At 44.5% G+C, this 21,070-nt stretch overlaps 2 protein-coding genes across 6 annotated transcripts, besides 4 other annotated features; both read left to right on the forward strand.

Annotated features, from left to right (window-relative positions):
• RPP14 (ribonuclease P/MRP subunit p14) lies at positions 134-14,082 on the forward strand. Of its 2 annotated transcripts, none has more exons than NM_007042.6 (6): positions 134-306; positions 4,198-4,295; positions 4,396-4,480; positions 10,404-10,480; positions 10,804-10,882; positions 11,329-14,082. In NM_007042.6, exons 2-6 carry the CDS (start codon positions 4,219-4,221, stop codon positions 11,383-11,385), a joined length of 375 nt encoding a protein of 124 aa, NP_008973.1. In that variant the 5' UTR covers positions 134-306; positions 4,198-4,218; the 3' UTR covers positions 11,386-14,082. The 2 variants fall into 2 exon arrangements, with proteins under 2 accessions (NP_008973.1, NP_001092253.1); NM_001098783.3 differs by lacking the exon at positions 134-306 and adding an exon at positions 409-540.
• On the forward strand, positions 134-14,082 carry HTD2 (hydroxyacyl-thioester dehydratase type 2). Of its 4 annotated transcripts, NM_001348713.1 has the most exons (6): positions 134-306; positions 4,396-4,480; positions 9,611-9,708; positions 10,404-10,480; positions 10,804-10,882; positions 11,329-14,082. In NM_001348713.1, the coding sequence occupies exon 6, from the start codon at positions 11,503-11,505 to the stop codon at positions 12,007-12,009; it is 507 nt and encodes a 168-aa protein (NP_001335642.1). In that variant the 5' UTR covers positions 134-306; positions 4,396-4,480; positions 9,611-9,708; positions 10,404-10,480; positions 10,804-10,882; positions 11,329-11,502; the 3' UTR covers positions 12,010-14,082. The 4 variants fall into 4 exon arrangements, with proteins under 4 accessions (NP_001335642.1, NP_001335643.1, NP_001335644.1 ...); NM_001348714.1 differs by lacking the exon at positions 9,611-9,708; NM_001348712.2 differs by lacking the exons at positions 134-306; positions 9,611-9,708 and adding an exon at positions 409-540.
• Positions 190-449: an enhancer, noted in NCBI's record as "active region_20008". NCBI's record gives its function as "activates an Ori minimal core promoter by ATAC-STARR-seq in GM12878 lymphoblastoid cells {active_cell/tissue: GM12878}" and the evidence as "EXISTENCE:reporter gene assay evidence [ECO:0000049][PMID:35858748]".
• Positions 570-699: an enhancer, noted in NCBI's record as "active region_20009". NCBI's record gives its function as "activates an Ori minimal core promoter by ATAC-STARR-seq in GM12878 lymphoblastoid cells {active_cell/tissue: GM12878}" and the evidence as "EXISTENCE:reporter gene assay evidence [ECO:0000049][PMID:35858748]".
• Positions 6,213-6,714: an enhancer, noted in NCBI's record as "H3K4me1 hESC enhancer chr3:58298051-58298552 (GRCh37/hg19 assembly coordinates)". NCBI's record gives its function as "activates a minimal SCP1, AML or CMV promoter by ChIP-STARR-seq in primed H9 embryonic stem cells {active_cell/tissue: H9 hESC(primed)}" and the evidence as "EXISTENCE:reporter gene assay evidence [ECO:0000049][PMID:30033119]".
• Positions 15,872-16,633: an enhancer, noted in NCBI's record as "NANOG-H3K27ac hESC enhancer chr3:58307710-58308471 (GRCh37/hg19 assembly coordinates)". NCBI's record gives its function as "activates a minimal SCP1, AML or CMV promoter by ChIP-STARR-seq in primed H9 embryonic stem cells {active_cell/tissue: H9 hESC(primed)}" and the evidence as "EXISTENCE:reporter gene assay evidence [ECO:0000049][PMID:30033119]".

Here is a 21,070-nt window from a genome sequence, read left to right on the forward strand (position 1 = left end):
TAAACCGCACCCCAAGCAAATTGCACACACGGCTTTCCCGGAGTGGACACCAGAGGGCGCTGAGCTCGGCCGCTCTCAGCTCCGGATCAGGATTCGCGCCTGGGTCCTTAGGACGACGCCGCGTGGTGACGTCATATCCGCCTGGGCGTCACGCTTCGTGGGGCGGGACGAGGAGAAGCCAAACGTAAAGACACCAGGAGTTTCTCGGGCCCAGCTGTGGCTGCTGCCGGGGAGCCCCAAGCCTTGGCGGGTCCTTGCGGCGAATAGGAGTCTGGTCAGGCGTCAGGCTAGTCCGACGAAGAGTGGGTAGGTGGAAGCCTTCCAAAGAGCGGCGGTTGTCTGGGAGCCGTCTCAGTTGGCCGCGACCCGGGCGCATGCGCGGGGCGGGCGGTGCGCCTTGGGTAGCTTGTCCTCTCCGACCCCGGGCGCTGAGGGCCTCTGTACGGCGCCGCGTAGGGTCTCGGCCGCAGAACGTGGCCGAGAGGCCCGGGCGAGACTTCGGGACCGTGTCCTGAGCGCTCTCCATGCGCCCGGCGCGAGGTGAGCGCTAAATAGTGGTTGTTGAAAAATATTGAAAGCCACCCAAGTGCTCAGCAGTAAGGATATTGAGCTTTTTAAAGTGATTGATTTAGTCCAAAAATTGTACGTCGCACGCCCACTGTGCACGACCCAGTGTTTTAGGGCCTTGGGAAACAGCAGTGAACAAGATAGCAAGATTCTTGGAGTGGACTTTTGTTGGGGTGGGGAGGGGAAGTACAGATAAAGATAAACGAGTTACATAATTGTCATAGAAAAAGGCAAATGCTACGAAGAAGAAAGCAGGGACGGGGCATGGGGGTGGGGTGCGGTGTTAGCCGAGAAGGGCACTGGGCCAACCCGATTGAGATTTGAGCTAAGCCAGGAAGGGGGCAAGGGTGTGAGTCCGGTGGCTGCCTGGAGGAAGATCTTTCCCAGCATGGGGAAAAGCTAGAGCCGAGGCCCAGCGGTGGGAGCGAGACTGGCGCGTGAGAAAGAGCTAGGCTAGGCCTGTGTGGTGGCGGGGATTGAGCGGAGGGAGAATGGCAGGACATGAAGTCAGAGGTGTAGAGGGAGCAGTCCTGCAGGTGAGGCAGAGCCTTGCAGGCTGCTCTAAGGACTTTGGCCTTACTCTGGATAAAACGGGAACCATAGCAAGATTTTGAGCAGAGGAATGATGTAGCTTGAGTAGATGTTAATAGACTCACTGGCCGCCGTAGGGATGGAGAAGCGGGGGAGTAGGGAGAATCAGATTTATTACTAATAGGTCAGATTAGGAGCATCCCTGCGCAGCCACTAAAAAAGGCTGACTCTAGGCCGGGCGCGGTGGCTCATGCCTGTAATCCCAGCACTTTGAGGGGGCCGAGGTCGGCGGATCACTTGACGCCAGGAGTTCGAGACCAGCCTGGGCCAACATGGCGAAACCCCATTTGTACTAAAAATACAAAAGTTAGCTGGGCGTGATGACGTACGCCTGTAATCCCAGCTACTCAGGAGACTGAGGAGCGAGAATTGCTTCGACCCAAAGCACTCCAGCCTGGGCGACAGAGTGAGACTCCATCTCAAAACAAACAACAAGACTGACTTTAAAGATGACGATGACAGTAACTTCGTGAGCCCACATCTGTGGAGAGCCTGGTGAATATATTTAATACCAGTCTGTACAAAATAATTTCCCAGGTATCCTCTCCTTTAATGTCAGAACAGCCTGCAGAGGGCAGTGCTGTCATTTGTAAGTCTTTTTTTTTTTTTTTAATTGCAAAAAATACGTGACATAAAATTTATCGTAAGTAGCATTGAGTACATTCACAACGCTGTGCAGCCATCACCACTGTCCATCTCGTGAATGTTGTGTAAGTCTTCGTTTTACTGGCATCTAAGCCCTGGGTCTAATTTCACTCCCCTATTTTAGGCAGCCAGCTCCATCAAGGCAGTAACACTAAAAAACATTTATGTGCCAAGCAATGAAAGAAACAGATGAGGTTTCTTGTTCTCCCTGCCCTTCTAGTTAGGGGAGACTCTAGTGACTGGGAAAGAAGCATCAGGTAACTATTTCCGCTGTCCTGAAACCAAGGATTCTTTTGAATATATAGGCCTATACCACTATCACTTTTCTCTCATTTGAATACCTACTTTGTGTCATAGTATTACAGTATTTTTTGTTTGTTTGTTTTGGAGACAGGGTCATGCTCTGTCACCCAGGCTGGAGTGCAGTGGTACAATCACAGTGCACTGTATCCTTAACCTCCCAGACTCAAGCTATCCTCCCACCTCAGCCCCTGGAGTAGCTGGGACTACAGGCACACACTACCATGCCTGGTTAATTTAAGTTTTTTTGTTTTTTTTTTTAGTGACAGGGTCTCACTATGTTTCCCAGGCTGGTCTCAAACTCCTGGCCTCCCAAACTGTTGAGATTACAGGCATGAGCACCACGCCAGGCCCCAAAGTATTAATGTTTGTTGAATGGATTGGTAGATGTAGCTCCTTGACCCTGACTTCTTTTCTCCAGAGGTCATCATCTGGGAGTGGTTGGAACTGGGTCTAACCCAGAGTGGTTTTGAAATGCTGGTCCATAGCTCTGTGACCTTGGATAAGTCCCTTTCCTTGATTGGGCCTCAGTTTCCTGTTCCCTGTAGTGGGGGATCCATATATTAAACAAATAGACAGTGTTAAGAGATTGCATAACATGGGGGCTTAACTTAGAGAAGGGTGTCAGAGAAGACCTTCATGAAGAGGTGGTATTTAAACTGAAAGTTGAAGGATGAATAGGACCTATCCAGAGGGAGAGCAAGGTTGGCATGGAGCCAAGGAAAGGAACTGTCTACAGAGAGATGAGCATGTTCTACGTTCTTGAAAGTTCAGACCTTTTAGAAGCTGCATTGAGTGCCCCTTCCAGGAATCCCTCTTCTCAACCCCTGTGCTGTTTAAGCTCAGTTGTTCACAGATAGTCTTGCACAGACCTGGCTTTTGGACTGAGAGCAGGCAGACACAGGATGGGAGGAGACGGCAGAACGACCATCCCTCATTCTTCTCTTTGTGTTCTGTGTTGACTGAGAGTAAACAAGAAGAGGACCTTCAAATCTTAGATTTTACTCCTTTATGTCTTTTCTTTTTCTTTGGATAAAGAGGCATCGTAACTGGTCTTGAGTGGGCTCAGAGTGGTTGGAATCTCTGGGCACCCTTGGGCAGATGTTACCTACGTTTACTAAACCTCTGTGTCATCTTCTCGAAAATGGGAATAATAATACCTCTTACCTCAGGAGCATTTTGAAGACAAGCTAAGGCATGTGAAATGTTTAGCAAAGAGCTGGGTGCTCATAAGGAAAATTGTTAGCCAAAATTATGTTGTTATGTTTTAAGTAAGAGTACAGTGATTTGACATTTATAGAATATAGAAACTTATTTTGTATTCGTATGGGTAACCTTAGTTTGATCAGAATTAGATGAGTTACTGTGCTCAGAAGTCTTAAAAACCAAACAGGAGGCCAGGCACAGTGGCTCACACCTGTAATACCGGCACTCTGGGAGGCCGAGGCAGGCGTATCACGAGGTCAGGAGTTCGAGACCAGCCTGACCAATATGGTGAAACCCTGTCTCTACTAAAAATACAAAAAAGGTAGCCGGGCGTGGTAGCACATTCCTATAATCCCAGCTACTCGGGAGGCTGAGGCAGGAGAATTGCTTGAATCCGCGAGGCAGAGGTTGCAGTGAGCCAAGATTGTGCCACTGCACTCCAGCCTGGGCGACAGAGCAAGACTCCTTCTCCAAAAAAAAAATAATAATAACAGGAAGGCCGGGCCTGGTGGCTCACACTTGTAATCCCAGCACTTTGGGAGGCTGAGTTGGGCAAATTGCTTGAGCCCAGGAGTTTGAAACCAGCCTGGGCAACATGGTGAAACCCTGTCTCTACAAAAAATACAAAAATCTGCTGGATGTGGTGGCACGTGCCTATACTCCCAGCTACTCAGGAGTCTGAGGCAGGAGGATCACCTGAGCCTCGAGAGCCAGAGGTGGAGGCTGCAGTGAACTCTGATTGTACCACTGCACTTCAGCCTAGGTGACAGGGTGAGACCCTGCCTTAAAACAAACAAACAAAAAAAACCCAAATAGGCCAAATTCTCATCAAAACTCTGAAAAATAGCATGTGCATTGGTCATTTCTAGCCCTCTTGACTTACTGTAGGTGTGATCAGCACTGGAAAAGATGCCTGCCCCTGCTGCCACATATGAAAGAGTAGTTTACAAAAACCCTTCCGAGTACCACTACATGAAAGTCTGCCTGTAAGTTTAGTTTCCTAAGTTCTATTTTAGATTACTTTTCTAACATGAATCTGAATAGAATGAAATTTAATATGACTTTTTTTTTTTTCACTTTTTTTAGAGAATTTCAAGATTGTGGAGTTGGACTGAATGCTGCACAGTTCAAACAGCTGCTTATTTCGGCTGTGAAGGACCTGTTTGGGGAGGTATGGAATCACTTGGTAGATTGAACATTCCAAAGATCTTTGTAAGAAATACAGAAAGAGGCCGGGCGCGGTAGCTCACGCCTGTAATCCCAGCACTTTGGAGGCCGAGGTGGGCAGATCATGAGGTCAAGAGATCGAGACCATCCTGGCCAACATGGTGAAACCCCATCTGTACTAAAACTGCAAAGATAAGCTGGGTGTGGTGGCAGGCACCTGTAATCCCAGCTACTCGGGAGGCTGAGGCAGGATAATTGCTTGAACCCGGGAGGCAGAGGTTGCAGTGAGCCGAGATAACGCCACTGCACTCCAGCCTGGCAACAGAGCGAGACTCTGTCACAAAAAAAAAAATCGAGAAAGAATGCTTTTCAAACATCAAAAAAAAAAAAAAAATAAATTATACAACTCTGTATTTTTAAATTTTTATTCATTTATTGTAATAAACACATTTGTATTCCTTTTTTTCCTCCTTCATCCTCTCTACCCTCCTACCCTTCCCAGCCTCTGATAATCACCAATCTACTTTCTATCCTCATGAAATCTACTTTTTGTTGTTGTTGTTGTTGTTGTTGTTGTTTTTCTTTGAGATGGAGTCTTGCTTTGTTGCCCAGGCTGGAGTGCAATGGCACATTCTTGGCTCACTGCAGCCTCTGCCTCCCAGATTCAAGGGATCTTCCTGCCTTAGCCCCCCTGGTAGCTGAGATTACAGGCACACGCTACCATGCCCAACTAATTTTTGTATTTTTACTAGAGACAGGGTTTCGTCATGTTGGCCAGGCTGGTCTTGAACTCCTGACCTCAGGTGATCCACGCGCCTTGGGCTCCCAAAGTGCTGGATTACAGGCACGAGCCACTGTGCCTGGCAAGATCTGCTTTTTTAGCTCTCACATATGAGTGAGAACATGCAACAGTTGTCTTTCTGTGCCTGGCTGGCTTCACTTAACAAAATGGCCTCCAGTTCTATTCATGATGCTGCAAATGACAGAATTTCATTCTTTTTTATGGCTGAATAATATTCCATTGTAATATATACCACTTTTTTTTTTTTATCCATTGATGGGCACTTAAGTTCTACATTTTGCCTATTGGGAATACAATAAATATGAGAGTGCATATGTCCTTTTTTTTTTTTTTCCCCACCTTGGCTTCCCAAAGTGCTGGGATGACAGCATGAGCCACTATGCCCAGCTGCACATGTCTTTTTGAATTGATTTCCTTTCTCTTGGATTTATGCTCAGTAGTAGACTTGCTGGATTAAATGGTATTCTATTTTTAGTTTAGTTTCTTTTGTTTTTTGTTTTTGAGATGAAGTCTTGCCGTGATGCCCAGGGTGGAGTGCAGTGGCATGGTCATGGCTCACTACAGCCTCAACCTCCCAAGCTCAAGTGATTCTCCCACCTCAGTATCCCGAGTAGCTGGGACCACAGGCGTGTGCCACCACGCCAATTTTTTTACTTGTAGAGGCAAGGTCTCACTATGTTGCCCAGGCTCCTGGACTCAAGCAATCCTCCTGCCTTGGCCTCCCAAAGCACTGGGATTACAGACATGAGCCACTGCACCTGACCTATTTTTAGTTTTTTGGGAAACCTCCATACTGCTCTCCACAGTGGTTGTACATTTACATTCCTCCCAGTAGTGTGTGAGGGTTCCCCTAGAGATTATTTTATTTTATTTTTATTTATTTATTTTTTGAGACAGAGTCTCGCTCTGTCACCCAGGCTGGAGTGCAGTGGCACAACCTCCGCACCCCCCCCCGCCCCTCCCGGATTCAAGTGATTCTCCTGCCTCAGCCTCCCGAGTAGCTGAGACTACAGGTACCTGCCACCACGCCCAGCTAATTTTTGTATTCCCCTAGAGATTATTTTAAAACTGTGTTTGAAATTGCAGAAGTAAACTTTCAGAAGTGATGAATTTTGTTGGGTTTATTCTAATATGCCTTCTGTTTGACAAGGAACACGTTAGACAAATGATTGTTGTAGCACAGTGCTACTCAAAGTGTGGCCTAGACTGGCACCTGCAAACTCTTTTCCCATCTTGAAGAGATAAGGAATTTGCAGCAGAACCACTTTTAATGAGAAAGTCTCCTTATGGGCCAGGCGCAGTGGCTCACTCCTATAATCCCAGCTCTTCGGGAGGCTGAGATGAGCAGATCACTTACAGTCAGGAGTTTGAGACTAGCCTGGCCAACGTGGTGAAACGCTTTCTCTACTGAAAATACAAAAATTAGCTGGGCATGGTGGCGCACGCTTGTAGTCCCAGCTACTTGGAAGACTGAGGCAGGAGAATTGCTTGAACCTGGGAGGCAGAGGTTGCAGTGAGCAGAGATCACGCCACTGCATTCCAGCCTGGGCAACAGAGCAAGACTCTGTCTCAAAAAAAAAAAAAAAAAAAAGGGCTGGGCACGGTAGCTCACGCCTGTAATCCTAGCACTTTGGGAGGCCAAGGCAGGCAGATCCCAAGGTCAGCCGATCAAGACCATCCTGGCTAACACGGTGAAACCCTGTCTCTACTAAAAACACAAAAAGCCGGGCGCAGCGGCGGGCACCTGTAGTCCCAGCTACTCGGGAGGCTGAGGCAGGAGAATGGCATGAACCCGGGAGGTGGAGCTTGCAGTGAGCCGAGATCACGCCACTGCACTCCAGCCTGGGCGACAGAGCGAGACTCGGTCTCAAAAAAAAGGCTCCTCATGAAAAAAAGATGAACTGAACTAAACATGGTGATTAATGATACTATTGGTTTATATTCTGATTCAACTCATTATTTTGTCATAGACCAGCATTTTAAGCAACTTTGAGAACAGAAGTAGAGAAGTAGAGTTTCAGAAGTTGAAAGAAGACAGGATGCTCAGGAAATTATTTTGTGATTCATATAGTCTGTCAAATCAAAATATGCTAAGTACCTCATCAAAATTTAAAACTTTTACTCTGCAAAAGACTCTTAAGAGGATGAAAGGGCCAGGTGCAGTGGCTCACAGCTGTAATCCCACCACTTTTGAGAGGCCAAGCGGGTGGATCACTTGAGCCCAGGAGTTCCAGGCCAGCCTGGGTATCTGGTGAAACCCCATCTCTACAAAACAATTTGAAAAATTGAGCTGGGTGTGGTGGTGTGCACTGATAGTCCCAACTAGTCAGGAGGCTGAGGTGGGAGGATTGCTTGAGCCCAAGAGCTCAAGGTTGCAATGAGTGGTGATCACACCTCCATGGCTGGGGGTAGGGGTGGGAAAGGATGAAAAGATGAATTACACACTGGGGGAAAATATTTGTAAACCACGTATCCAACAAAGGACTATAGTGTCTAGAATATATAAATGACATTTGGCCTGGTGCAGTGGCTCATGCCCGTAATCCCAACACTTTGGGAAGCCAGGGCAGGAAGATTGCTTGAGGCCAGGAGTTTGAGGCTGGCTGTGGTAAACTATGATTGCACTACTGCACTGCAGCCTGGTCAACAGAACAAGACCATGTCTCAAAAATAATAACACATGGGGCGTGGTGGCTCATGCCTGTAATCCCAGCACTTTGGGAGGCCGAGGTGGGTTGATTGCCTGAGGTCAGGAGTTTGAGACCATCCTGGCCAACATGGCAAAACCCTGTCTCTGCTAAAGCTATAAAAACTAGCCGGGCGTGGTGGCACATGCCTGTAACCCCAGCTACTCGGGAGGTTAAGGCAGGAGAACCACTTGAACCTGGGAGGCGGAGGTTGCAGTGAGCTGAGATCACACCACTGCACTCCAGCCAGGGTGACAGAGAGAGACTCTGTCTCAAAAAAATAATAGTAATAATAATAAAAAAGAAGTATCAGAACTCAACCAAACAATTCAATTAGAAAATGGGCAAAAACATTAACAGACATTTTGCTAAAGAGAATGTGTGGTTGGCAAAGAAGCACATGGAAAGATGTTTAACATTAGCCATTAGGGAAATGCACATTAATGACACAATGAGATACCACTGTGTACCTAGCAGAATGACTGAAATAAAAAATGACAACACTAAGTGCTAGCAAGAATGCAAAGAAACTAGATCACTCATACACTACAGTGAGTATGTAAAATGGTGCAGCCACTCTGGAACATAGTTTGGCAGTATTTTTTTTTTTTTTTTTTTTTTTTTGTTGAGATGGAGTCTCGTTCTGTCACCGGGCTGGAGTGCAGTGGCACAATCTTGGCTCACTGCAACCTCCGCCTCCCAGGTTCAGGCGATTCTCCTGTCTCAGCCTCCCAAGTAGCTAGGACTACAGGCACACACCACCACACCCAGCTAATTTTTTTGTATTTTTAGTGGAGACGGGGTTTCACCATGTTGACCAGGATGGTCTCAATCTCTTGACCTTGTGATCCGCCTGCCTTGGCCTCCCAAAGTGCTGGGATTACAGGTGTGAGCCACCATGCCTGGCCAGCAGTATCTTTAACAAACTAAACGTGCATCTGCCATAGAACCCAGCATTAGCACTCCTGGGCATCTGTTCCAGAGGACTGAAAACTTAAGTTCACACAAAAGCCTGTACATGAATATTCATAGCAGCTTTATTTTTAATAACAATGAAACTGAAAACACCCCATATATCCTTCAATGGGTGAATAAACTGTGGTACATTCCTACTATGGAATATACTCGACAGTGAAAAGGAATGACCTATTTAGACACAATATGAATGAATCTCCAGAGAATTATGCTGAGCGAAAAAAAGCCAATCCCAAAACATGACATACTGGGTGTTTCCATTTATAGAAGACTCTTGAAATACTATATATAATCTGGAGAAAGGTTAGTGGTTGCTGGGGTGAGGAGTAGGGGAGGAGGGGTGGGTGTGGCTGTAAAGGGTAGAATAAGGGAGTCTTATGATGGTACAGTTCTTTATCATTGATTGTGGTGGTAGTTATATGAAGCTACCTATGTGGGAAAATTACATAGAGCCACACACAGGTATAAATAGGAGTAGACATACAATTGGTAAAATCTGAATAACCTCTGGTTTGTACCAATACCAGTTTTGTAGTTTTGCTACTGTACTGTAGTTACGCAAGACATTGACATTGTGGGAGGCTGGATGAAGAGTGCATGAACCTCCCTGTACATTTCTTTTTTATTTATTTATTTATTTTTGAAACAGAGTTTCGCTCTTCTTGCCCAGGCTGGAGTGCAATGGCACGATCTTGGCTCACCGCACCCTCCGCCTCCCAGGTTCAAGCGATTCTCCTGCCTCAGCCTCGCAAGTAGCTGGGATTACAGGCATGTGCCACCACACCCGGCTAATTTTGTATTTTTAGTAAAAATGGGGTTTCTCCGTGTTGATCAGGCTGGTCTCAAACTCCCAACCTCAGGTGATCCGCCCTCCTTGGCCTCCCAAAGTGCCGGGATTACAGGCGTGAGCCACTGTGCCCGGCCAATCCCTGTACATTTCTTTGTGATCTCTTGTGAGTCTATAATTTTTTTAAATACAAAATTTTAAAAAAAAATATCCCTGTGTGTACCTGTGTGTCAGGTAGAAAACCTCGTTCCTGGGGTTTATATAGCTGCAAACAAACAGACATGGCCTCTGCCACATGGACTAATGTCTTGGTTCTTGTAGTAGGAAAACATGTTGGACAATTAGTGACAAGAATAAAGGGAATTATGAAAGAGAAAGTATGGTGTCCTGTACAAGAAAGAACATAGCAAGCTGACTTTGTCTCATCTTGAAGATCAGTCAAGGAACAATTTAAATGAAGGCTCAAAGGATGAGAGACATCAGCCATATGAAGAGGTGTAGGCAGAACATTCTAGGCAGGGGGAGCTGTAAGTAGGCAACTAAAGTGCCAGCACCATTAAATAAAATACTGCTTATGTGGAGGAGAAAAGCTCAAAACTCATTTGTTGTCAAAAGTTGACAAGCATTCAAGAATAATGGTGAGAATAGCCTGCTAATAGCATTATTCCATATGCAGGTTGATGCCGCCTTACCTTTGGACATCCTAACCTATGAAGAGAAGACCTTGTCAGCCATCTTGAGAATATGTAGCAGGTATGACAGAGAGTGGGAAATTTCTAGTATAACAGGGCAGAGAGACCGATGGAGCAAAAATGCTCTCTTCTGAGAATGAGAATAAATTTTTTGTTGTGAACTCTGAGCAGCTTTTGGGAATTTAAACTGGGATGAATATGAACATTCATCCACCAGAAACTTGTACTCTAGAGAGGGCAAAACTTACGATTTGGTTACAGCTGTAGTTTTCCCATTGATGGTTATAGTTGCAAAGTCAGAAGTGAATATTTTAGAAACCTTAGTTGAAGTTCATTTTGTTCTCTGTCTATGACACACTATGTATTTTCTTGATCTTTCTGCAGTGGTCTTGTCAAATTGTGGAGCTCTTTGACCCTGTTAGGATCCTATAAAGGCAAAAAATGTGCTTTCCGGGTGATTCAGGTAAAGACTATTCCCTCACATATTCCAAACAAGACTGAGTGATGGGTCAACTGCTTCTTAATATACACAACTCATTTTTGTGCTTGCATAAATGTAATATGGTTAAAATGATCTAAGTAGGGGAAAATAAAGGACTTGATTGTTTCCAAAAATGTGAGACAGAGCACTTAGATTTTAAAATCTATGGGAGATGTTTTGGGATAAAACTTGCAACCCTGTGGTTAAGGCTTACTTTTTTTATTTAACACTTAATGCCTTGTGTGTTATATATTGGTACGCTCTTTTTGAGATGTGACCACTTGTTATCGAAGGCTTCCTCTCAGGATGCTCTGTAAAATGCTCCTGCATCAGCTTTGTTTATCCTGTAAAACTGGGCATGTTTCCCCATTGCCCTGTGCTTCAGTGTGGTTTCTCCCAATGCCTTAACCTTTTTCTTTCTCTTCTAGGTTTCTCCATTTCTTCTTGCATTATCTGGTAATAGTAGGGAACTAGTATTGGATTGAATGAATAGTCTTCCATTTTGGAAACGTTCATCCACTCTCATATTTATTTTTTGGTGCCTGCATGTTTGAAGACTGAAGCAGGCTAAAAGCTCTTGATGAAATTTGAGGGTGCTGAAGATGTTCCCACTAATTTCCAGCCATCACCTTTGGTGGGGTGGGCTTCGGAGGACAGTCTGTCTGAACCTGCCAGTGCTGACCCTGCAGCACTTTCAGCATATGCACATCAAAGTTGGAGACCGCGCTGAACTTAGGAGGGCCTTCACACAGACTGATGTGGCTACCTTCTCAGAATTAACAGGGGATGTCAATCCTTTGCATTTGAATGAAGACTTTGCAAAACACACCAAGTTTGGAAATACAATTGTACATGGAGTTTTGATCAACGGACTTATCTCAGCTCTCCTAGGAACTAAAATGCCAGGGCCAGGCTGTGTATTTCTTTCCCAGGAAATTAGCTTTCCAGCCCCTTTATATATTGGAGAAGTTGTTTTAGCTTCTGCAGAAGTGAAAAAGCTGAAGCGGTTCATTGCTATTATTGCAGTGTCATGTTCTGTAATAGAAAGTAAAAAGACTGTTATGGAAGGCTGGGTTAAAGTTATGGTTCCAGAAGCTTCCAAATCCTGAAATAGATGTTTTAAAGATGCAACCTCAAACACCAATGCTGTTGTTAAAGAGCCTATGGGGAATTGCTGCTCTTTACCAAAGAATGGTTGATAGGCCCAGAAGCCCATCTTAGTTAGGGGAAGGGAGCAGGAAGAGGGTTGTTCAAATGCCCACTTTCCAGTTTGGCCTTATGCTTCATGCAGACTTGAGTGTATGCAGGATTTCATTATCTGCCTGGGTTTTTTGTTTGTTTTTTGTTTTTTAATTCAAGAAGTAGGCTGGGCCCGGTGGCTCATGCCTGTAATCCTGGCACTTTGGGAGGCTGCGGCAGGCGGATCACTTGAGGTCAGGAGTCCAAGACCAGCCTGGCCAACATGGTGAAACCCCATCTCTACCAAAAAAAAAAAAAAAAAAAAAGTGCAACTAGCTGTGCTTGGTGACTTGGCCCTGTAGTCCCAGTTGCTTGGGAGGCTGAGGTGGGAGAATTGCTTGGGCCTGAGAGCTGGAGGTTATGGTGAGAAACTGAGATTGCACCACTGCACTGTAGCCTGAGTGACAGAGCGAGACCCTGTCTCAAGAAAGAAGTATTGGGAAGGTTATTTAAAGACTCTACTTTTAAATCAGGCGTGGCAGCTCACGCCTGTAATCCCAGCATTTTGGGAGGCTGAGGCAGGCGAATCACTTGAGGTCAGGAGTTCAAGACCAGCCTGGCCAACATGTGAAACCCCATCTCTACTAAAAATACAAAAACTAACCGGGCATGGTGGCGGGCACCTGTAATCCCAGCTACTTGGGAGGCTGAGGCAGGAGAATCTCTTGAACCTGGGAGGTTGCAGTGAGCTGAAATCACACCACTGCACTTCAGCCTGGGTGACAGAGCAAAACTCCACCTCAAAAAAAAAAAAAAGATTCTACTTTTAGAAATTCAGACCTAGATAGATTTGCATTTGGATAACAAATCCCTACCTATAGCCATGTGGAAGCAGCTTGTCACTGTATTTTAACTGTGTAACAATTATTGAAGGCGAAAATAGAAGTTGGGTCATCTTTGAACACCTACCTTTTATCAATGAATATTTTTAGACTGTTCTTCAGTATCTGAGTCAGAGTTTATTGTAATTTGTTATTTACACCAAGGTGGCATCTTAGTCTACCTTCAGTGAGACTTGCGTTTCAGGGGAGGGGCGTATGTGCATCCTCGGTCTCAGTTATGTAAACGGTCTGATCTGTAAAATAGTGGTAGCACATGCCATGTGGGATAGTTGGTGGAGATGATAGATGGAGTTAAGCACAGGGCCCAGCCTGTCAGCAGTAGCTACTATTATTGTTGCCCATTTCCCCTGCAACTGAGGTGAGAGGTTTTCCTGAGTTTGAAGCTGACTGGCCCACAGTTAAACGTAACAGACCAGTTTTTCAGGGTGTCAGCCAACCTCTATTAGTGTTCTTAAGTACAGTTTCTGTTATAAAAGTTCAGATTATTCCTTGAAAATTTGGATCTACCTCCCATTATTATGAGTAATACATGCTTATAGTAAAAAAAAAAAAATTGTAAGAAATAAATATTAAGAAGATTATGGAGGCCAAATTCTTAAGACTTTGGGGGCTGGGGTCAGGGAGGTTATATTGAAGGGGAGATGTGCCTAACATGTTACTACTAAATGGCCATCCCAACACAGCCAACACTTTTGTTTCCCATTTTTTTTTGTTTCCCGTTTTTTAATAAAATTGAGATATAATTCACATACCATAAAATTCACCTTTTAAAAGTGTACAGTTTAGTGGTTTTCAGAATATCCACAAAGTTGTACAACCATCACCAAATCAATTTTTTATAGCATTTTTCATCACCCCCAAAAGAACCTCCCATTAGCAGTCAATCCATTTCTCTCCTCCAGTCTTTGGGAATCACCAGTCTACTTTCTGTCTCTATGGGTTTCCCTGTTCTGGACATTTCATAAAAGTTCATACAATGTATGATCCTTTGGAACTGGCTTCTTTGATATAGCATGTTTTCAGGGTTCATCCATGTTACAGCATGTATCAGTACATCATTTTATTTTATGGCTGAATAATATTCCATTGTATTTACCCATACATCAGTTGATATTTGGATTATTTTCGCTTTTGGGCTGTTAAAAATAATGTTATGAACATTATAGAAGAGGTTTTTATGTGCACAGGTTTTAAATATATATATATATATATATTTTCTTTTTTTCTTTTTTGAGATGGAGTCTTGCTCTGTCGCCCAGGCTGGAGTGCAGTGGTGCGATCCCAGCTCACTGCAAGCTCCTCCTCCTGGGTTCAGGCCATTCTCCTGCCTCAGCCTCCCAAGTAGCTGGGACTACAGGCGCCTGCAACCACGCCCGGCTAATTTTTTGTATTTTTAATAGAGACGGGGTTTCACCGTGTTAACCGGGATGGTCTCGATCTCCTGACCTCGTGATCTGCCTGCCTCGGCCTCCCAAAGTGCTGGGATTACAGGCGTTAGCCATTGCGCCTGGCCGACAGGTTTTAAATTCTAGGAGTGGAATTGCTGGATCATGTAACTTTAATATTATAAAGAATTGTCAAATTGTTGTTCAAATTACTATTGGGCATGAGGTGGTATCTCATTGTAGTTATGATTTCCATTTCTCTAATGTCAGCCAACACATTCAAGACAATCTATGACAGAATTTTTAATTTTTACCCAGAGAGCAGCTGAACAGACAACTAGAAAGAATTATTCTAGGCCAGGCGTGGTGGCTCATGCCTGTAATTCTCAGCACTTTGGGAGGCCAAGGCAGGCGGATCACGAGGTCGAGGTCAAGAGATTGAGACCATCCTGGCCATCATGATGAAACCCCATCTCTACTAAGAATACAAAAAAATTAACTGGGTGTGGTGGTGCGTGCCTGTAATCCCAGCTACTCGGAGGCTGAGGCAGGAAGATTGCTTGAACTGGGAGGTGGAGGTTGCATTGAGCTGAGATCGTGCCCCTGCACTCTAGCCTGGGCAACAGAGCGAGACTCCGTCTCAAAAAAAAAAAAAATTATTCTAGTCGCTAGAGGGCAGTGTTGTGTATAAAGTTAGTACTTTAAAACTTTAATACTGTATTATACCATATACTAGTTTTCTAAGGTGGAAGACAAGACCAAAATCAATGTGGGGAGCAAGGATACTGTTCTTGTGAGTTTCAGAATGTGCAGCATGTGCAGGCTGAGATCCACTTGAAGAAGACATTTATAGGTGAATCACTAGACATGCTGAAAATGTGTTCAAATGGCAAAACAAAATGGGGAACATGCACAAATATACGGACTTGAGGCCAGGACTGCTTGCTCCTGCAGAACTCATTCCCTGGGATTTAGCAGCAGTCTTAAAGTTAGGTCCATAACTGGATTGGGATGTGATCATTGATACTGATAGCCACCATTTTTTCAATGCCTGATGAGTTGATTTTCTACATTAATGCTAATCCTTGAAACAACTGTGTGAAGTTAACATTATCCTGTTTTTAAGTAGGATAACTGACTTGCCCAAGGTTGTTCAGCGAATAAGCAGTACAGCTGGGATTCAAACTTGGGCCTGCCTGGCTCCAAAGCCTTTCCTTTTTCCATCACTCTGTGGGTCTTAGGTTCCTGTAGGAACCAAGGGGAAACTTCCCCTTTGCCCTCTGAAGGTTCACTGAAAAATCAACTGAGAAAAGGCAAATTAATTGGAGAAAAGGCATACCAATATATTAGCTTGCATGAAGGGGAGAGCTACAGAGTGATTACCCCCCAAACCCCCACCCAATAGGGTTTAGAAGCTTAAATACCACCTAAAGGTTACAAAAAGAGTGTGGGCTCGGATCAGTGGCATAACATGTTCGGGGAGCTGGAGAAGGGGAAGCCTGGCTAGCAAAGGTGGTCTTGTTATGTAAATGAAGCCCCACAGGTGGCAGCCCTCAAAAGAATAGATGGTAAATGTTTTAGACCTTTTTTGTTGTATGAGACAGAGTCTCGCTCTTATTGCCCAGGCTGGATTGCAATGGCACGATCTTGGTTCACTGTGGCCTCCGCCTCCCGGGTTCAAGCGATTCTCTTGGCCTCAGCCTCCCAAGTAGCTGGGATTACAGGCATGTGCCACCATGCCCAGCTAAATTTTGTATTTTTAGTGGAGATGGGGTTTCACCATGTTGGCCAGGCTGGTTTCGAACTCCTGACCTCAGGTGATCTGGCCTCCTCGGCCTCCCAAAGTGCTGGGATTACAGATGTGAGCCACCATGTCCAGCATGTTTCAGACCTTTAAAGTGTCAGACTAAGTTAATCTTCCCGAGATCCAGACAAGGGAAGGCCTGGCTGCATCAAGCAGATTCTCTGCAAATGCAAGTTTTCTCCAAAAAAGACAGCTTTGCAGGGCTGCTTCTTTTGGCTCTCTGAACAGCCATCTGAAAATATGACAAATATATTTTGGGGTGAAATATTTTTATTTCCCTCATTCGTGTTGCTGGAACTGGAGCACTGTCAGTTTCTATAATGGCATCTTACATGGCATTAAAATAATTGGAATCATTCTATAGCAATCTTTTTGCTTTCGGAATGTTCTAGATCTTATTCCCCGCTAGAGTTGTAGCGTTTTCCTAATACTATTAGTTGAAAGTCTTCCACCCATGCATATCACCTACACATTTTCTAAGCCGACATTCAGTGATTATTTGTCTTCACCGAAGAATGGCTTAAAGGGTTAAAGATGAAAAATATAGGGTACGGAAGGGATGTCAGATCTGAATGATAGTTGATTTATACTGTGTAACTTTCAAAAGTAGCTACTCAATGTGAGCATTTCCACTGTTTTTTTTTTTGTTTGTTTTCTGAGACAGAGTCTCACTCTGTCTCCCAGGCTGGAGTTGCAGTGGTGCAATGACTGCAGCACCTCCTGGGCTTACACAATCCTGCCTCAGCCTCCTATATAGCAGAGAACAGAGGTGCACACCACCATATCTGGCTTATTTTTTGATTTTTTGCAGAGATGAGGTCTCACTTTGTTGCCCAGGCTAGTCTCAAACTCCTGGGCTCAAGCAATCCTCCCACCTTGGCTTCCCAAAGTGCTGGGATTACAGGCATGAGCCACTGTGCTCAGCCTTCATGTTCACTTTTTTAAAATGTATGTATTTTTTATAGAGATGTGGGTCTCACTGTGTCGCCCAGGTTGTCTCGAACTCCTGGTCTCAAGCGATACTCCTGCTTTGGCCTCCCAAAATGCTGGAATGAGCCTCTGCATACAGAGTTCCACATTTTTATGCTCCCTGAGTCATGGTCTTTGAAATCTATAAATCAATAAAGGTTGGAAACAGAGAAGTAGACAAGAAGTTATCAGTACTTCTCTTTAGTAACTTGTCATTTTTATCCAGAGTCAAGATTCTCAAACCACACGTGCTTTGTTAAAGCTGGCTATAAGGAAAACTGGTTGCTTGGCTTTTTCATTGAGTCTATACAAACTGCTCAAAAGAATGACTCTTAATGAAAGCCTGAGTGACCCTCAAATTAGGAAATTCTCTCCCAGATAATTGAGAAGTGGCCTTGACTGTACCAGGTCACACATGGAAATAAGTACAAAAGTAATGACTAAAATAGGCCAAGTTGACCGAGCACTTTGTACATAGGGGTATTATACGACTGCAAATTGTGTGATGTTTAATTGTCACAGAAAGAGATACTCGTTTTAAGCACTTTTAGCCTAATGTACTGGAAAATTGCTTAATGGATTTTTATACTCTATTGGAAACATTTCCATATTGGTGAAATGCCACTCATTCCTTTTTCTGAGGAGCAAATCTTGAGTAGCAATGGGAAGAAAGCCTGGCAACAGCCACCATTTGTCTTGTGGACCTGACATGCTTATTCACCTAGAAAAAGAAGAAATTGCTAAATGCACACTGATACCTCTTAGGTAACCACAGGTTTTCATTTTGTGCTGAATTATTAGTCATTTTTCCTTTATGTTTTTAGAGTATGATTCAGAGACCAATTTATTCCCAAAGAAAATTGCCATTACATCTACTAAGTTTTCATATTAAAACATTTTCTACCAAGGGATGACTGTCACTCTGAGCAACTGTGCCACTGTGAATGCCTCATGTGTCAGCATAGCTTATTATCTAGCTCTGAGCAGAATGGGAGTGCTGCTGAATTAGTCTTGGTCCACAGGTATCTCCAGTGTCCCAGATGTTTCACCTCCTTTGTTCTTATCTTTGCTTTTATTTTGGGTTACAAACACAGCAGATAAATTAATTCTCAGCATCTTCAGAGAAACTGTGGGTTAGAGCAGAATCACCAACTAGAAGAAACCATTTAAATTCAAAAATCATAAGGAACCCAGAACCAATGTTAACACTGCATAAATACAACAAGATTAATAGGAGGCCCCACAGTTAATTCCTAAGGTGGTTCTTAGCTGTAAAGCAATTCAAATGACCTTCTTATAAACCCTGGGCAAAAGTCCCCTGTGATGTGGTGGAAAATATCAACACGTAAAGGAAATAAGAATGACTGTGAGTTGAGTTTTGTTGTTTTAGATCCAGATCATGAATATTTAAAGAAATAAAAGCATTTTGAGTTGGGAGGCCATGCTACTTAGGAAACACTGAGTTTTTCACAAGCTTCTATGATTTGATTTTGTAGAGTAGTTGCCAGGCCTAAGGAGCATCCTTGCTAAAACTCATTATCTTCAGTCAATCTGGGCAAACATCAAGTTGTTAGACAAACAACCTGTGGGCCATTTAAACATTTGGCAACAGTGGGAAATATGTGTGTGTGTGTATATATATGTATATATATATATTTTTTTTTTATATACATTTTTTTTTTTTGCGAGCCCTGAGTAGTTGTATGTGTGGCAAAAACTGAGGTTCCCTCTTTCCTCATTAGCCTTAGGCAGCCTGAGACTATAGAAAAAAACCCGATTTAAATTAGATCAGCTCCGGCCTTGGGGTGTTTCCCCATGTTCAGCCTAAGCCATTTCTTTTCTATTCTTTTTTTTTTTGAGACAGGATCTGGCTCTGTCATCCAGGCTGGAGTGGAGTGATGGGATCACAGCTTATTGCAGCCTCGACCTTCCTGTGCTCATGTGATCCTCCTACCTCAGCTTCCTGAGTAGCTGGGATCACAGGCATGTGCCACCATGCCCGGCTAATTTTATGACTTTTTGTAGAGATGGGAATCTCACTATGTTGCCTAGGCTGGTCTCAAACTCCTGGGCTCAAGCGATCTGCCTGTCTTGGCCTCCCAAAGTGCTGGGATTATAGGCATGAGCCACCATGCCCAGCTAGGCCTTAGCCATTTCAAATGCCAGGTGGATATCGAGGCGGTCTTGGGGTTTGAAACCTGGTTCCCCATGGATCATGGATCCAGTTTAAGTCCAGTGTCCTCAGAGGATCACTGACAAGACACTGATTTGGGTAGATAAAAATAAATCATGAGGCTTACCAAAATATTTACTTTAAGGGGCCCACTTCCCAGAAGAATTTGCAGAGAAAGGGAAAGGCTAGACTGAGAGCTTATCTCTGGCTTCATTTCATCAAATACCTGATTTCTCACTTTCAGTTTCCTTTCCTTAGTAAGGAAAACTAGATAAGGCTGTTATTGTATGACCTTTGCAACTCTGACCTTCAATTCTAATTCCTTTTCTGTTCTCTTCCCTTCCAGGGAGAAAAGTATTTGAATTCCTTTCCGTTGAACAACTTTTCTCTCCCTGTACGGTTCATCTGCTGATTTCCTTTATTTTTAATTTTTATTTTGTTTTAGAGACAGTCTTGCTTGGTTGCCCAAGCTGGAGGCCAGTGGCACAATCATGGGTCACTGCCACCTCAGCTGGGCTCAAGAGATCCTCCTACCTCAGCCTTCTGAGTAGCTAGGCCTACAGGCATGCACCACCACACCTGGTGACTTTTTAAAAATTTTGTAGAGACAGGCAGGGCACAGTGGCTGACGCCTGTAATCCCAGCACTTTGGGAGGCCGAGGTGGACGGATCACGAGGTCAGGAGATCGAGACCATCCTGGCTAACACGGTAAAAACCTGTCTCTACTAAAAATACAAAAAATTAGCCGGGTGTGGTGGCAGGCGCCTGTAGTCCCAGCTACTCGGGAGGCTGAGGCAGGAGAATGGCGTGAACCTGGGAGGCGGAGCTTGCAGTGAGCCAAGATAGCGCCACTGCATTCCAGCCTGGGTGACAGAGCGAGACTCTATCTCAAAAAAAAAAAATTTGTTTGTAGAGACAGGGTCTCACTATGTTGCTCTGTCTGGTCCTGAATTCCTAGCCTCAAGCCATCCTCCCGTCTCTGTCTCCCAAGGTGCTAGGATTATAGGTGTGAGCCACCATGCCCTGCCTCCTTTTTTGGTTTGTTCATACATCCATTTGACAAATATTTACTGAGCACAAACTCTGTGCCAGGAACTGTCCCCAAAGAGACTCAGGAGCCCTAAAGAGGCAAGCCCCCACACCCGACCGTGATTTCCTTTATAACATAAGAGCTAATACTCTGCATTCTCCCTACCAGCCTGTCTTCCAGGTCATTGCCTACATTAGCGCATCCAGTCCTCCCAATGATCCTACAGAGTGGAGGCTATCATTATCTTCATTCTGCAGACGAGGAGCTGAAGCAAAGAGAGGTCAGGCTGCCAGTAAGCTGTGTAGCCGGTGTGAACCCAAGAAGTCACCTGGGAGCTTAGGCCCTTAACTATGACCAACACTCCAGCTTCTTCCTCAGGCTTATGAGGGCAGCTTTTTGCCTAGTTTTTGAATCTCACATTCTGCCTTTTTTTCTCTCCATCTGCCTACCTTCCCCTCTCCCTCCCGACTTCCCCGCTTATCTCCCTCTTCTCATTCTCATCACTCCCTCACTACTTTTTTATTTTATATTTATTTATTTATTTTTTTTGAGATGGAGTCTTGCTCTGTCACCCAGGGTGGAGTGCAGTGGCACGATCTCGGCTCACTGCAACCTCTGCCTCCCGGGTTCAAGCGGTTCTTCTGCCTCAGCCTCCCAAGTAGCTGGGATGATAGGCACGTGCCACCATGCCTGGCTAATTTTTTGTATTTTTAGTAGAGATGGGGTT

This window comes from Homo sapiens, chromosome 3 (genome assembly GCF_000001405.40).
Source record: "Homo sapiens chromosome 3, GRCh38.p14 Primary Assembly".
NCBI lineage: Eukaryota > Metazoa > Chordata > Mammalia > Primates > Hominidae > Homo > Homo sapiens.

Excerpts from the sequence above, each read along its gene's own strand:
- RPP14 (NM_007042.6), top strand. The coding sequence starts at position 4,219 with ATGCCTGCCCCTGCTGCCACATATGAAAGAGTAGTTTACAAAAACCCT. Across the intron at positions 4,296-4,395 it reads CACTACATGAAAGTCTGCCT|AGAATTTCAAGATTGTGGAG; the intron begins GTAAGTTTAGTT and ends CACTTTTTTTAG. Across the intron at positions 10,481-10,803 it reads ATCTTGAGAATATGTAGCAG|TGGTCTTGTCAAATTGTGGA; the intron begins GTATGACAGAGA and ends ATCTTTCTGCAG.
- HTD2 (NM_001348713.1), top strand. The coding sequence starts at position 11,503 with ATGTTCCCACTAATTTCCAGCCATCACCTTTGGTGGGGTGGGCTTCGG.